The sequence below is a fragment of the Homo sapiens genome, chromosome 9, assembly GCF_000001405.40.
Source record: "Homo sapiens chromosome 9, GRCh38.p14 Primary Assembly".
Taxonomy (NCBI): domain Eukaryota; kingdom Metazoa; phylum Chordata; class Mammalia; order Primates; family Hominidae; genus Homo; species Homo sapiens.
In genome coordinates, this window is record NC_000009.12 from 33,368,058 (window position 1) to 33,382,853 (window position 14,796).

A 14,796-nucleotide genomic window follows, 5' to 3' on the forward strand; every position below is an offset into this window, starting at 1 on the left:
AACCCATCTCTACTAAAAATATAAAAAAGTAGCCGGGTGTGGTGGCGGGCACCTGTAAACACAGCTACTTGGGAGACTGAGGCAAGAGAATCACTTGAACCTTGGAGGCAGAGGTTGCAGTGAGCCGAGATCGCACCACTGCACTCCACCCTGGGCGACAGAGAGACAGACTCCATCTCAAAAAAAAAAGAATAGTTACTCTGAAGATGCAAGTGGGTGTGGGGGTGAGAATTGCCGGTGACGGGGGTGGATAGTACTTTCTTGTTTTGCTCTGTCTGCTTCTATATGGTTTGAATAATTTTTATAACAAACATATTCATGATTTAAAGAGAAAAGAAAACCAAGTTGGCAAGGGGCAAGTCTGCCAGATGTTTTCTCAGACAGGAGCAGGGAAGGAGCTCTGAGAGTTGGGTGACTGTTGGGCTTTATTTGGAGAAACCAGAATTGTGGGCTGAAACCAACTTTAGAGCACTTGGTCATAGCCCCAGTTGTCCCAGTTGTTTGTCACTTGTCAGGGAGAGGAAGGGAAGGCAGGATGGTGCTCCTTCTCTGCTGCCCTAGTGTAACCAAGGCAGTGTGGCTAAAAGTTACTTCAAAGCCCAGAAGGAGAGGGGTGCCTACTCCTGTTCTGGCTTTCCACAGACAAGTCCTAGCAGTACCTCCTCTGTGATTCCTGCACAAAACCTCTGAAGGGTGGTTACGGCAGTTCACAAGGTCACCATGAAGGTCACAGCACTTAGTGTTCCTGTGGGACTGGACAAGAAGACAGCTAGGTGTTGCCCATTGAGCTCAGACTCAGCCAAGAGCGTCCTGGTCCCCAGGACCAGCCCCTCTCCACTCCTGGGAGCCAGGTGTCCTAGGTTCTGGTCAGCACAGTCTGCAAATCCATATGGGCGGTCACTTTGGAAACATGAGGGGTTTTCTCAGAAACTGCCAGAGTCGGGTCCAGTCCTGCTTAGACACAACCATGTGGAGTTATTGGCCCGTTTATCCCATGCTATCTTTTTTCTTTTTTTCTTTTTTTTTGAGATGGAGTCTCGCTCTGCCGCCCAGGCTGGAGTGCAGTGGCGCGATCTCAGCTCACTGCAAGCTCCGCCTCCCGGGTTCATGCCATTCTCCTGCCTCAGCCTCCTGAGTAGCTGGGACTACAGGCGCCTGCCACCACGCCCGGCTAATTTTTTGTATTTTTAGTAGAAACGGGGTTTCACCATGTGTTAGGATGGTCTCAATCTCCTGACCTCGTGATCCGTCCGCCTTGGCCTCCCAAAGTGCTGAGATTACAGGCGTGAGCCACCACACCTGGCCATCCCATGCTATCTTTTTAAAAACCCTTGGCTTGCTTTATTTTTGTATAAAACTCTATTATGGAAATGTTTTAGAGTAGAGAGAATAGTATTACTATCATAAATGCCCATGTGCCCATTACCAAATTTCAAAATCACCAGCTCATGTTTGTCCCACTATCAAAACTTCACAAGTGAGATGCTCGCTTGGCTTAAGCTGTTAACTGAGCATTCATTGAACTGTGAAGGCAGAGTAAAATCATCATCATATATGAAATCCTGTAAATAGATTGTGAAAGGTTACCTCTAAACTGTAAAGTGTAAATAGAGAATTTGTTATCTCACAGAATAAAATTCCCCATGTAATATGTAAATCTAGAAGGAAACACAAAAGTTAAAAAAATTGCTCACAAAGGGCAGAAGGAAAAAAAGTAAGACTAAAATAAAAATAAAATAAATGTTTAAGATTCACAAATGGTAAATCAGCTGATCCTTAACTTTCTGAAGTCCTGTATCTGTTTCCCCCAAAGAAGAAAAGACTGATCATTCTTTGTTTGTTTTTCAGGAATCCTGGGAGCAGTAATTTACAGAAAATAACCAAGGAGCCAATAATTGACTATTTTGACGTCCAGGACTAAGAAGATCATGATGCACTTAGATAAAAGAATGATTAGGTATAGTGGAGACTTATTTGCCAGCAGATAAATCATGCCCGTTCCCCTCTGCCTGGCAGAATCACAGTCTCACATACTGTCTTGTACTGACACATCCAAAGCATGAGTGTGTCAGAAATCCCTTGTCTATTCCTGTCTGTATAAAGTGTTTCATTATGACCAGATCTCTGATTGTATGGTCACTAGGTATGCAATCACGCATTCAAAGAGGCTCTTTACACCATCACTGTGATTGCTCTGAGAGTTGAGGGACTATTGGGCTTTATTTGGACAAACCAAACTTTTAGCCTGAAACCAACTTTATGCCACTAAGTCATAGCCTCAGTTGTCCCAGTTATTTGTCCTCCTGAAAATGCCTGAAACATCAGACAGACATTGCTTGCTTTACCCAAACTGATCAAAATCTTTAGGAGCACAAATGAATTTTTTAGTCTGAAATACCAAATAATGAATTGGTATACCATATCCGGAATCACACATGTTATCTTAAACCCAGCCATCATACCTAAGTCTTTTGCCAAAACCTCTCATAGGTATATCTAGCTGAACTTATTTTGGCATTTTCAATGTGATCAGTTCTAGACCTAGAAGGGGGTCAGGCTGCTTTACAGAATTCTATTTCCTTAAGTCCCTGGCACTTCTCATACCACATCACTGAACCTGTTCAGTAACAATCAGTTTGGCCGTCCCCCATGATGGTAGGAAATATAGAGAGCAAGTTCTTCTGCCAGGGTCACACTGTGGTCTCTGAACTGACCAGTATATCCCTAACTCCTCTTTGATAGAGAAAGAGTCTCAAATGGACAACTGTCCTGTGTTGCTTTCCCTAGGCCTTCAGCAGCCTATTGGCTCTCCCTGCCTCTGAGCTCTGGACTCTGTTTGAATATTCCAAGTAGTATATGGACAGTCCAGGGCTTATGCCCAGCAGCCCACTGGAGGCATTCTTCAGGCTCCTTTAAGGCAGGTGCATTGATAGTTCCATTAGTGTGACCCTTGCATTGGCACCCCTCCAGCCTGGAGGCCAGGCTTCCAGCAACTTCCTTCTGCCCTAGAGCAAGCCATGAGCCCCAGAGCAGTAGCAGGAGACTTGAGAAGTAGAGTGACAAAAACAAGCACTTAATTAAATTATAAAATTTAACTTTATAGGGCTGCCTTTTGGTGTTTTCATTTTTTTATTTCTTTTCATTTTTTTTCCTCAATCCTCCTCCTCCTGTAGCAGGGCTGTCCTTTGGTCCTTACCCAGTCTGCTTCAAAAGGGATCAGGTACAGCAGCAGGAACAGGTGACTGGAGGGAAGTGACACAAAACAAAACCACCTCTCTCTGGACCCATGTAGTGCAGGTCAGTGGCCCCACACACAACAGGAAGCCCATGAGCATCTGTTACCTCTTTCAAGCAGTGGGTTCAGTGGGTGAATAGTACGTGTGAGAGTATCTCAGAATCAGCAAAAGGCAGGAGACCTGACTTCAGATTCTAGCTGTGCCACATAATTTGCCGCTTGATGCGATGAAAGTTTCACTGACCTCATTAGGGTTATGAAGATTAAAGGAGTAATACACGTGGAGGTACCTGATCCTCAAAGTTCATAAAAATGATACTTAGTATCTAGAAAATATGTACACATCTTCCTCCATAATACTAGCCAAGTAGAAGGTGTGGAATGCTAACCAGGCCTCTTCTGGTGAATATTTGCATGCCTACCCTGTGCCAGCCTTGTGCCAGGGCTGTGGGAAGCAGCCTGGTTTCGTACATTTAGTAATCCAGGGAGGACACACGTGAACAGATGTTCTCAGTGGAATTGGCTAGTCTGCCACCAACAGGTTGTTAATCGGTTATTAAAAGCTGAAGAGTCCTAAGAGGAATATTTTGTGAAGTTGCGGTAGAAATGGGTTAGCTCTGGGGGTCAGAGCAGGACACGTGTGGGAAAGTGAAATGGGAGGAAGCATTTGAGCTGAGGCTTGAGATGGTAGGCTGCCATTTGGAGGAGGAAAGAGGCCCATGCTGAGAGAAGGTAAACAGCAGGAGACAGGGCTGGGGGAATGGTTGAGTAAGGGTTGTCCAGAGCAGGCAGACAACTAGGGGCACAGGTGATGAGGCTGGACAGGTGGACAGGGGTCAGCTCGTGGAGAGCCACAGGGAGTGACAAGAATTCTAAGCAGAGTGGCATGGCCAGATTTAGGATCTAGACCAGGATTCAGCAAATGTTTTGTGAAAAAAGATCAGATAGTAAATATTGTAGACTGTGAGACTTATAGTTTCTGTTGCAGCTATCCAACTCTGCCATCGTAGTGTGAAAGCAGCCGTAGACAATATGCAAATGAAAAGAGTAAGGCTCTGTTCTAATGCTTTATTTGTGCACACCGAAATAATTTCATATGATTTTTATGTCACAAAATATTCTTTTGACTTTTTTCCCCAACGATTTATAAACATAAAAACCATTCTTAGCTCATGAGTTGTGCAAAAACAGGCAGCAGGCTAGATTTGACCAGGGACTTTATTTTACCCACCCTGTTCTGGAGCAGTCCCTCAGGCAGAAGAGTATAGAAGGGATTGGAGGGCTACTTGGAGGCAGGAAGCTCAGCCAGGAAGCTGCAGAAGTGATCCGGGTGAGAGAAAATGAGGGTGATGGGGGTTGGCACTGCAAAGAGGGAAGAGATTCAGATCAGGGAGGTAGGATTGGATGCCAGAGGTTAGCGGGAGAACTAGCCCCCCTCATATCACCAAGGGGAGACCCCCGGTCTCCTCAGCAAGGGGAAGCTGCTGCTTGTAGCTTTGGTGGATTCCTCACTGAGCAGTGGCACTGGACAAGAGTGTACAGGAGCATGAGCTAGACGGGAAGACCCCTGTGCCTCCACCACCCCATGCATGGAGGGAGGGCACCAGGACCCCAAGCTGTTGCTCCCTGAGAATCAGGTGGTAACTTCTCTCCCTGCTCCCATACTCTCTTTCAGCAGGAGAGTTTTTATGGGCTAGAGCTTTCCAGCGACCAAATTCTTCTCTCTGAAATTCCCTCTGGCTTGTTTGGCAGGGCCGGCTGTTCTCAATAGTGTTACCTGCCTGGCATGCAATAGTGGGTGTGTGCGGGACTGTGGAGATGAGAGCAGGCCCTCCTAATTGCAGGTCTGTTGGCCACAGCCCTAGATCCTGTCTTGGAGAGGCCAGAGAAGGTGGCAGGGGAGGAGGAGGAGGAGGAGTGTCAGTCTTGAGGGAGGGGGAAGGGCAAAGACTCGCTCACTGAGTCCTATAGATTAAGGTTTGGGGGAGAATCCCTCCTGTGTAGTGCTGGCCTTCCTTCTTTATGCCTGAAAGCCTGGAGACCTTGTTCCCTAAGGAGAACCTGCTGATGTGCCTCCTCTTCTAAAATCGGGGAGGGACGGCCAGGCCAGCTCCTTCACCATGGCAGACCTGCCTTCCTCATTAGCCTTCCTCACACACAAATATTGGAAAGTTCAGCCTCCCTAACTTCCCACATGGCCTCAACACAGATGTCCCGTACCATCTCCCATGGCTCAAGGATAGCCAGGGGCTTCTCTAGGCCATGTCAGTCCCTCAGCCTACAAAGGCCAAGCCCAGAAGGAACAGGTTCCCTGGGGTCACACTGCCACACTAGAAACATCCTGTACCAGGAGGGGGCTGAGTCCTCAGGACAAGGGGAGCTGTTTTTCTTCCTGGCTTCCCCAAACACAGCTCAGTGGGAAGTCCTTGCCAGTGTCCCAGGCTCCCCTCAGCCCAGGCTTTGCAAGGTCATTCTTCATAATGCACAGCCTTCTGGGAGAGCTGTCTGCAGAGAATCCAGCTGGACAGCTAGGATGTCTGTGTTGCTGCCTCAGCTCACTCTGTCCCTGGGCAGTTTGGGCATCAGTTTCTGCATCTGTCAGGTGAGATAATGGTTCCTGATCATGTGCTTCCCAGAGCCGTCCTGAGGGTGGTGGGTAGACAATGAGGGTCAGAGATCAGGAGAGTCTCCCAGTGCCACGTGGCATCTCAGCACAGTCAAACCTCTGGAGCCCATACCTGGTACAGCTCTCAGAGAATAGCTCTTGGGGAAGAGGGAAAGGAACAGAGCCGTAGTCAAGCTGCTTAGACAAGGGCCAAGGTTTTGGTCACCCCCACTGACACTCCCCTCACTAGCTTCAAGCTTGACACATCAGTGAGGGAGTTGAAAGTCCTCATCTGCTCACATTTTCCCAAGAACCTTTTTTAACAGTACGTAACGGCTATTGAGCGCTTAATATGTGCTGAGCACCACAGCCATCTCTTACTCCTCGAAGCCCCATGAAACCAGCATGGTGGCACACATCTCAGCTACTCAAGAGGCTGAGGCAGGAGAATCGCTTGAACCCAGAAGTTGTGCGAGCCCAGGAGGCTACAGTGAGCCACGTTTGTACCACTGCACTGCAACCTGGACGACAGAGCAGGACCCTGCCTCCAAAAAAACAAAGGCCAGGTGCAGTAGCTCAGGCCTGTAATCCCAACACTTTGGGAGGCTGAGGCAGGAGGGAATCACTGGAGCCCAGAAGTTCAAGACCAGCCTGGGCAGCAAAGTGAGACCCCGTCTCTACAAAAAATGCAAAAATTAGCCAGTTGTGGTGGCATGCACCTGTAGTCCCAACTACTCGGGAGGCTGAGGTGGGAGGATTGCTTGAGCCCAGGAGTTTGAGGCTGCAATGAGCCAAGGTTGTGTCACTGCACGCCAGCCTACACCACAGAGAGAGATGTCTCAAAAAAAAAAAAATCCCCATGAAGTATGTATTCTTATTATCCTCATTTTACTAGAGGGGAAACTAAAGATCAGAGAAGTTAGGTCACTTGCCGAAGATCACTCAGCAAACAACCGGTGATCTGAAATTCCTCTCAGGTCTGTGTCCTTGACAAGAGCTGTGAATTGCCCCTGAAACTGTCTTAAAACTGCCTTGGAATTGGAGCATTTGTACAGCTCCTCTTGGAGTTCCTGGGGCAGAGTGGCCCAGGTCAGTCCAAGGGGGAGGGAAGTTTACACATGTCCCAAAGCAGGAAACACCGGTTAATCCCCAACTCCTGCTCTAGAAGACAGGGCTTTTTCTCCAGTGGCCACTAGGGTGCAGTATGTATCCCTAAACCTGGAGCCTGGGGGTGGGGTGGAGGAACGCTTACACTTTGCCTCAGGAAAGCTCTCTTTATTTAAAACTCTTCAGTAGAGTTTATAACCAATATTTTCAAAATTTGTCACATTTTCATTTTTTTAATATTATTTTCTCTCTGCTAGTTGATATACACAGTATGGGCACCAGGGGAAAAAAAAAACGCACACAGTTCGGAAGGAAATTCAAGGCAGAGAGGGAAAGCCGTTGCAAAGGCTCTGAGGTGGCAGCGCGCTATACAACTTGAAGGAACAGCAAGGCCGTCAGGCTGTAGGGGAGTGATTGATGGGGGAAGTAGCAGGGCTCAGAACAGTAACAAAGGGAACCTGATAGGGTGGGCCTTTGTAGGCCATGGGAAGGTTTAAGGCAAAGGAGTGAATGATGAAGCTAGCTTTTGTTGTTACTGTTGCTGTTGTTTTTGAGACTAGTCTCGCTCTGTCCCCCAGACTGGAGTGCAATGGTATGATCTCAGCTCACTGCAACCTCCGCCTCCTGGGTTCCAGCGATTCTCCTGTGTCAGCCTCCCGAGTAGCTCAGATTACAGGCCTGCACCACCACGCCCGGCTAGTTTTGTATTTTTAGTAGAGGCGAGGTTTCACCATGTTGGCCATTCTGGTCTCAACCTCATGACCTCAGGTAATCCGCCTGCCTTGTCTTCCCAAAGTGCTGGGATTACAGGTTTGAGCCACCGCACCCAGCCCCCTAGCTCATTTTTTAAAGGGTAATGCCAGCTGCTGTACTGAGACTAGACCACAGGGCTGAGTGGGAACAAGGGAAGAGGCTGGAAGACCAGAAGGCCCCTGCTATAGTCTGAAAGAGGCAGCACTGGCTGGAACCAAGGTAACAGTGCTGTAGCGGTGAGGAGTGGCTGGATTCTGGATACATGTTGCAGATTAACACCTACAGCTTTTGCCGACAGCTGGGACGTGGGGTGTGAGAGTGAGCGGAGAGTCAGGGATGACTTTAAAGTTTTTGGCCTGAGCAATTGGAAGACTGAGTGCGCTGTTTACTGAGATAGGAAAGCCTGTGGGAGGAGCAGGCTTGGGGATGAAAATCTGTCCAGTAGGCAGTTGTGCGTGGGAGTCTGAAGTCTGGAGGCAGGACTGGGCTGGAAATCTAATTTGTGGAGCTGTTAATGGCGCCTATAATGGTATTTAAAGGCTGGTGAAACCATGTAGGGAAGGAGGGTGAAAGAGAAGATATCCAAAGACAACTGTGCCCCGGGCACACCCTCATCCTGAAGGCAGGAAGCTGAGAACAGGGAAAGTTAGAGATGTCCAAAGCCAGAGACAGGGGCTGAAGCTGCAGGACTCAGTGCTACAGGAAGTCCTGTAGGGTGAGGGGCTCTAGGGTTTTCTTCCAGGTTGCCTAGGAGAGGATGAGTTTCTCTCACTTATCCTGACCTGTCTGAACCCCTTGAGAGAAGGGCCTGGCCCCAGGGCACATAGTCAGTTAAGGCCTCAGAGTGTTCAGGCTCCCAGGGCCAAAGGAGGCCATGAGCCTTGGCTACTTCCTCTCCTTTTCTTTTCTTTTTTGAGACGGAGTCTTGCTCTGTCACCCAGGCTGGAGTGCAGTGGTGCAATCTCTGCTCACTGCAAGCTCCACCTCCCGGGTTCACGCCATTCTCCTGCCTCAGCCTCCCGAGTAGCTGGGACTACAGGCACCTGCCACCGCACCCAGCTAATCTTTTGTATTTTTAGTAGAGATGGGGTTTCACCGTGTTAGCCAGGATGGTCTCGATCTCCTGACCTCATGATCTGCCCGCCTCGGCCTCCCAAAGTGCTGGGATTACAGGAGTGAGCCACCGCGCCCGGCCGACTTCCTCTCCTTTTCTTATCCCCCAATATGGGTGCTCTAGAGGGCTCCGCAATCTCTCCCTGGGCCACCTCGTCCACCTGCAAGCCTTCAACTGCCACTGCTGGGCTTCAGTGCTCTGTCTCCAGCCCAGATCCCTGGCTTTCCCTAGATGTCCCACGAGCCTCTCCTACTCAGCATGTTCAATACCGCAGCCATCTTTCCCCCGCAAACTGTCTTCTGATGTCTCTGCCACCTACCCAGTTCCTAGACAGAGCCCTGGACAACACCTTCCACCCTTCCCACAGCCGACTCAAGGTCCATAACTTCCAGCTTCTGAATCTCTTATCTGGTCATCCTCTCTTCTCCCCCACCCTTCACCAGCTGTGTCAATTCAGCTGCCTCTCCTTGCTCTCCTGCCTCCAGTCCCTCCCCTTCCAATTCAGCCTCCACACAGGGCTAAAGGGCCTCTTCTCAGGCACAAATCTGGCTCTGCCATGACTTGGCTTAACACTCTTCTCTGACTTTCTAAGAGATGAAAGTCCCCGCTGCCCACCCTGGCCCTAAGCACCTCCAGCCACTCCCTACCTTGCCTGCTCCCTGTCACGCGCATCCGTGTGAAGAGAGTCCACCAACATGCTTTGTGTGAGCAACAAGGCTGTTTATTTCACCTGGGTGCAGGCGGGCTCAGTCCGAAAAAGGAGTCAGCAAAGGGTGCTGGGATTATCATTAGTTCTTATAGGTTTTGGGATAGGCGGTGGAGTTAGGAGCAGTGTTTTGCGGGCAAGGGGTGAATCTCACAAAGTACATTCTCAAGGGTGGGGAGAATTACAAAGAAACTTCTTAAGGGTGGGGGGAGATTACAAAGTACATTGATCAGTTAGGGTGGGGCAGAAACAAATCACGATGGAATGTCATCAGTTAAGGCTATTTTCACTTCTTCTGTGGATCTTCAATTGCTTCAGGCCATCTGGATGTATACATGCAGGTCACAGGGGATATGATGGCTTAGCTTGGGCTCAGAGGCCTGACACTCCTCTGCAGCCACTCTGAGCAGCCTGGGGCTCCAATCTCTGTGCCTTTGTTCCTGCCATTCCCTCTAGCTGGAGCCCCCCTAACCCCTGTCCCTGGTGAACAAGACTGCCTGGTATGGGTGAGAAGTTCCTTGAGAGCTGGGGTAGGCACTGGGTTGAGGGTCAGGCGTGGTGGGGAAAGAGGGAGTCCTTCCAGCGGGGCTCTGGAGGGCCTCTAAAATGAGGCATCCCCTTCCCACATCAGAGACTTCTGCAGGGCGAAAGGGTTGGATGGGCCCAGGAGGGCACCTTCAACTGGCCTTCCTCCGCCCAAAAACTGAGTCTCCCTTTCCCTTAGAAGTTTATCATCTCATATCCCCTGGCACAGGACCAGAGGCCAAGGCAGGGCTTGGGGAATGGCGAGGGTTGGGGAGGGCAAGAACACAGTTTTGCTAGCCCTGACGGGGCTCTTCCAGGGGCCTGTTGCAACCCCCATCTAAGGACTTCTCCTCATTGGCCAGTGAGGGTTTGGTTGGGTCCCTGGAGGACTCAAAGGATCAACCCAAAATTTGGGGCCTCATCTGTGTGAGCTTTGTATGTCTTCTCCCTCAGCCCCTGACCCAGCCTCGGAGCCTCCACCCTCGACTCACCAGGCCCTCCCACTAGGCCCAGAGCATCCTCTCCAGAACCCCCACCTTGGCTCCTGACCGCAGAGACAAGGAGAGACCATGAGCTCTGGTAAACTCCACCCAGCCTTGCTCTGTCACAAGGGAATGCCAGTGTCAAGAATTAAACTTGAAGCATCTCAGTTCCTCTCAGCCCCATTATCCCATTTTTGAGGTATGAAAACTGAGGCCCACAGAAGTTAAATCACTTGCCCAAAGTTCAGGGTGCACACTTGAGTGTTTTTTTTTTTTTTTTTTTTGAGACGGAGTCTCGCTGTCGCCCAGGCTGGAGTGCAGTGGCGCAATCTCGGCTCACTGCAGGCTCCGCCCCCTGGGGTTCACGCCATTCTCCTGCCTCAGCCTCCCGAGTAGCTGGGACTACAGGCGCCCGCCACCTCGCCCGGCTAATTTTTTGTATTTTTAGTAGAGATGGGGTTTCACCGTGTTAGCCAGGATGGTCTCGATCTCCTGACCTCGTGATCCGCCCGCCTCGGCCTCCCAAAGTGCTGGGATTACAGGCGTGAGCCACCGCGCCCGGCCTTTTTTTTTTATCTGTAGTTTTGTTTTGTGTGTTTGTTATTTTAACTATACCTATATGTTATATATACTCATGTTTACAAAATATACTTAATACACAGTTTAAAAACCAAACAAGGCTGGGTGTGGTAGCTCAGGCCTGTAATCCCAGCACTTTGGGAGGCGGAGGCAGGTGGATCACCTGAGATCAGGAGTTGAAGATCAGCCTGGCCAACATGGCGAAACCCCGTCTCTACTAAAAATACAAAAATTAACCGGGCGTGGTAACGCATGCCTGTAGTCCTAGCTACTCAGGAGGCTGAGGCAGAAGATTCACTTGAACCCGGAAGGCAGAGGTTTCAGTGAGCCGAGATCGCGCCACTGCACTCCAGTCTGGGCAACAGAGCAAGACTCCGTCTCAAAAAATAAAAAAATAAAATAAAAACCAAACAAAAACTAGCCAAGGTCACCTCCTTGGTTTCTGGGTGAAAGCACAGGCTTCACGGGCACATTGACAAGGGCTGTAATTCCTGCTCTCTGCCCCTTACTGAGCCAATCTCCCCAGCCTCAGTTTCCCTGTGTGTCAGATGTGCATGACGACATGCAGCTCCCTTTAGAGGGTGCTTAGTGACAGCAGCACACACACTCCCATGTGCCAGGCATCGCCCGTGTCATCCTCCCAGTGGCGCTGTGAAGTGGGAGCTATTATCTTACCTAAGGTCATACGGCTAGTGAGTGGCAGGGCCGGTATTTGGATCCGGGCGGGCTGGCTTCGTTGTCTGTGCTAAGTGCCAGAGTATGAGCCCCTGCCATGTACAGGAGGGCCGGGGTCACCCTGAGTTTCACTGTTCCTACTGTAAGATCAGCACAGAGGTGGGTGTGGAGCAGCTGTGCTGTTCGGAGTGACTCCGGCCTCTTCACACTGAGGGTGCCAGCACCAGGCCAGGCCTGAGGTGGCTGCTCCCACCTCTTCCTAGGCGGCAGGACCCCATCTGAGGGAGGAAACCTAAGACTAGCCAGACCAGGGTGCTGCCAGTATCCCTTGGAATCCCTGGAGCTGAATGGGAGAGCAGGCCAGGCAAGGGTAAGGGGCTCCTCTCAAAGCTGGGACTACCAGGCTGAGGACCATACATTCATCTGCAGAGCCCTGGATGGGCCTGGCCTGGGAGTGGGGCCATGACGTGAGGCTTCAAAGTGCTGTAAGAAGAGCTGGGGGGCTCCCCAGATACCAAAAGATCCAAGCCTTCTGTATGGGGAAACTGAGGCCCAGAGAGTGGAGGGGTCCTATCCAGGTCACACAACCAGTCCATGCTGGGACTGGGAGAATGGGAGAGGGTCCAGTGCTCCCATGGCTCATGTCCCAGCCTGGGTCCCACAGCTGCACAGATCCATCTACAGGAGGAACCATGCATATGCATGCATGTGCGTGCATGTGTGTGCGTGCATGCACGTGTGTGCGTGACAGCAAAACCAAGAGCAGGGACCCACAAGGTGCTATGATGCCCACCCCACCTTATCCTAATGCCTCCCTCCCTCCCTTCCTTCCTCCCTCTCTCCTTCTTTCCTTCCTTCCTTCCTGAAGAAGGACCTGCCTTTCTCCTCCAGAGACTTCCCTCACCTCTGCCCCAACCCTTGTTTTCATCTCTCCCCAAGGCCTGGCCTCAGTCCACCCACCATCCCCTTTACTTCTCTGACATCTCCCCTTTCCTCTTTCCATTCCAGCACCATGGCCCCTCCAGCTCCCCCTCAGGGAACTGGCTGTTCCTTCAGCCTGGCATGTTCTTTCCCCAAGTGTCCACATGGCTCACTCCCTCACTCCTTCAGGTCTTTACTCAAAGTCACCTTCTCAGTGAGGCCATCTTCTCTTCACACCTCCCCACACTTTCTAGACACTGTGCCTGCTTTTTCTCCATAGCATCTATAACATGCCATATATTTTACATAGAACGCTAGCTCCATGAGGACAAGGACTTTTATCTTCCTTACGCCTGTGTCCTCAATGCTGGAATGGTGCCTGGCACGTTGGGGGCTCTCACCTGATACCTGCCAAGAGAATGGAAAGGATTGCTCTGCGACTGGTCAGGGCTCATCTGAGCCTGACGTTGGGACCAGAAACTGCAAGGTGTTAGGGGCAACAGGCCTAGTGCAAGCCTGTGGCAGAGCAGTGGACAGCAGGTGGGGGCTCTGTATGAACCCATGGCCGCCCTGCCTCCAGGGCCCCTCCCAGGGACAGGAGGATGCCAGAGGGCTGAAGTGCTCAGGGAGGGACAGAGGAGGGTAGGAACCAGAACCCTGGGCCCCGTATATGCCTCTCTAAGCTGTAACTGAGGCCTTGGGACCATGCTGCTCTGGAATGCCAACAATGAGAAAGGCTCACAGGGCCACTGAGCGTGAGAGGGGGGAAGGGGCTTGTAGAAGGTTACCGAGGAAGGCTACTGTACAGCTGGGGACTTCCAGCTGTGGGCCCTTCCCTGGTCACTCCCAGCCCTGGTTCCCCTGGCTCGGCTCCTCCCACCGTGGGACGTCAGATACAGTCATCCTCCCTGGATTCCCTGTGATCTCACCAGGCTCCCACCTGTTACCCCTCCCCTCCCCCTGGCGCCCCCCACTCCGCCCCCCAACTCCGCCGTCCTCACACTACAGCTATTCCTTCTTTGTGTTTTTAGATATACCTACATACTGGCCAGGCGGTGGAGCTCACGCCTGTAATCCTAACAATTTAGGAGGCGGAAGCGGGTGGATCACCTGAGGTCAAGAGTTTGAGACCAGCCTGGCCAACATGGCGAAACCTGGTCTCTACTAAAAATACAAAAATTAGCCAGGCGTGGTGGCGCATGCCTGTAATCCCAGCTACTTGAAAGGCTGAGGAAGGAGAATTGCTTGAACCCAGGAGGCAGAGGTTTCAGTGAGCCGAGATCACACCACTGGCACTCCAGCCTGCATGACGGGAGAGAGACTCCATAAAAAAAAAAAATATATATATATATATATATATATATAATATATATATCTCATACAAACAATATGTATCACATTTATATGTTATCAAGCACGATCATGTAATAAACCCGCAAATGTCCAAACCCAAAACTAGAAAATTATTAATAGTTTGTACTACTCCTGTGTTCCTCTCCATCTGCCTGTAGGAATTATTTCTTTTTCTAAAATAGTTTTCTTACATACATATATATAGCAAAGAATGTATTTTTGCTTATTTTTCAGCTACAAGACTGGTGTCACACTGTATATAGTCTACTGTATTACTTTGTTGTTGTTTTTTTTGAGGCACAGTCTCACTCTGTCACCCAAGCTGGAGTGCGGTGGCACAATCTCCATTCACTGCAACCTCCGCCTCCCGTGTTCAAGGGATTCTCTCCTGCCTCAGCCTTTTGAGTAGCTGGGATTACAGGTGCCCAACTACACCAGGCTCTTTTTTTTTTTTTTTTTTTGAGACCGAGTCTAGCTCTGTCGCCAGGCTGGAATGCAGTGATGCAATCTTGGCTCACTGCAACCTCCGCCTCCCAGGTTCAAGCAGTTCTCCCGCCTCAACCTCCCGAGTAGCTGGGACTACAGGTGTGTGCCACAACACCCAGATAATTTTTGTATTTTTAGTAGAGACAGGGTTTCACCATGTTGGCCAGGATGGTCTCGATCTCTTGACCTCGTGATCCACCCGCCTTGGCCTCCCAAAGTGCTGGGATTACAGGCGTGAACCACCACGCCCGGCTA

General features: G+C 50.4%; 1 protein-coding gene and 1 long non-coding RNA gene across 3 annotated transcripts in view, besides 3 other annotated features; both read left to right on the top strand.

The window, feature by feature from the left end:
• NFX1 (nuclear transcription factor, X-box binding 1) overlaps nucleotides 1-3,100 on the top strand; it is an 80,642-nt gene extending 77,542 nt beyond the window's left edge. For both annotated transcript variants that reach the window (NM_001318758.2, NM_002504.6), the window contains exon 24: nucleotides 1,849-3,100. In NM_001318758.2, the coding sequence (NP_001305687.1) occupies nucleotides 1,849-1,921 (73 nt within the window). In that variant the 3' untranslated portion in view covers nucleotides 1,922-3,100. The remainder of the gene's footprint in view (nucleotides 1-1,848) is intronic.
• Nucleotides 4,563-5,063: an enhancer, noted in NCBI's record as "H3K27ac hESC enhancer chr9:33372618-33373118 (GRCh37/hg19 assembly coordinates)". NCBI's record gives its function as "activates a minimal SCP1, AML or CMV promoter by ChIP-STARR-seq in naive H9 embryonic stem cells {active_cell/tissue: H9 hESC(naive)}" and the evidence as "EXISTENCE:reporter gene assay evidence [ECO:0000049][PMID:30033119]".
• LOC124902142 (uncharacterized) lies at nucleotides 6,685-14,157 on the top strand. Its single transcript, XR_007061462.1, has 2 exons — nucleotides 6,685-7,919; nucleotides 13,734-14,157. It is a non-coding gene; the product is annotated as an uncharacterized LOC124902142 (long non-coding RNA).
• Nucleotides 12,547-13,147: an enhancer, noted in NCBI's record as "H3K27ac-H3K4me1 hESC enhancer chr9:33380602-33381202 (GRCh37/hg19 assembly coordinates)". NCBI's record gives its function as "activates a minimal SCP1, AML or CMV promoter by ChIP-STARR-seq in naive H9 embryonic stem cells {active_cell/tissue: H9 hESC(naive)}" and the evidence as "EXISTENCE:reporter gene assay evidence [ECO:0000049][PMID:30033119]".
• Nucleotides 13,148-13,746: an enhancer, noted in NCBI's record as "NANOG-H3K27ac-H3K4me1 hESC enhancer chr9:33381203-33381801 (GRCh37/hg19 assembly coordinates)". NCBI's record gives its function as "activates a minimal SCP1, AML or CMV promoter by ChIP-STARR-seq in naive H9 embryonic stem cells {active_cell/tissue: H9 hESC(naive)}" and the evidence as "EXISTENCE:reporter gene assay evidence [ECO:0000049][PMID:30033119]".
• Nucleotides 14,158-14,796: the final 639 nt, after the last annotated feature.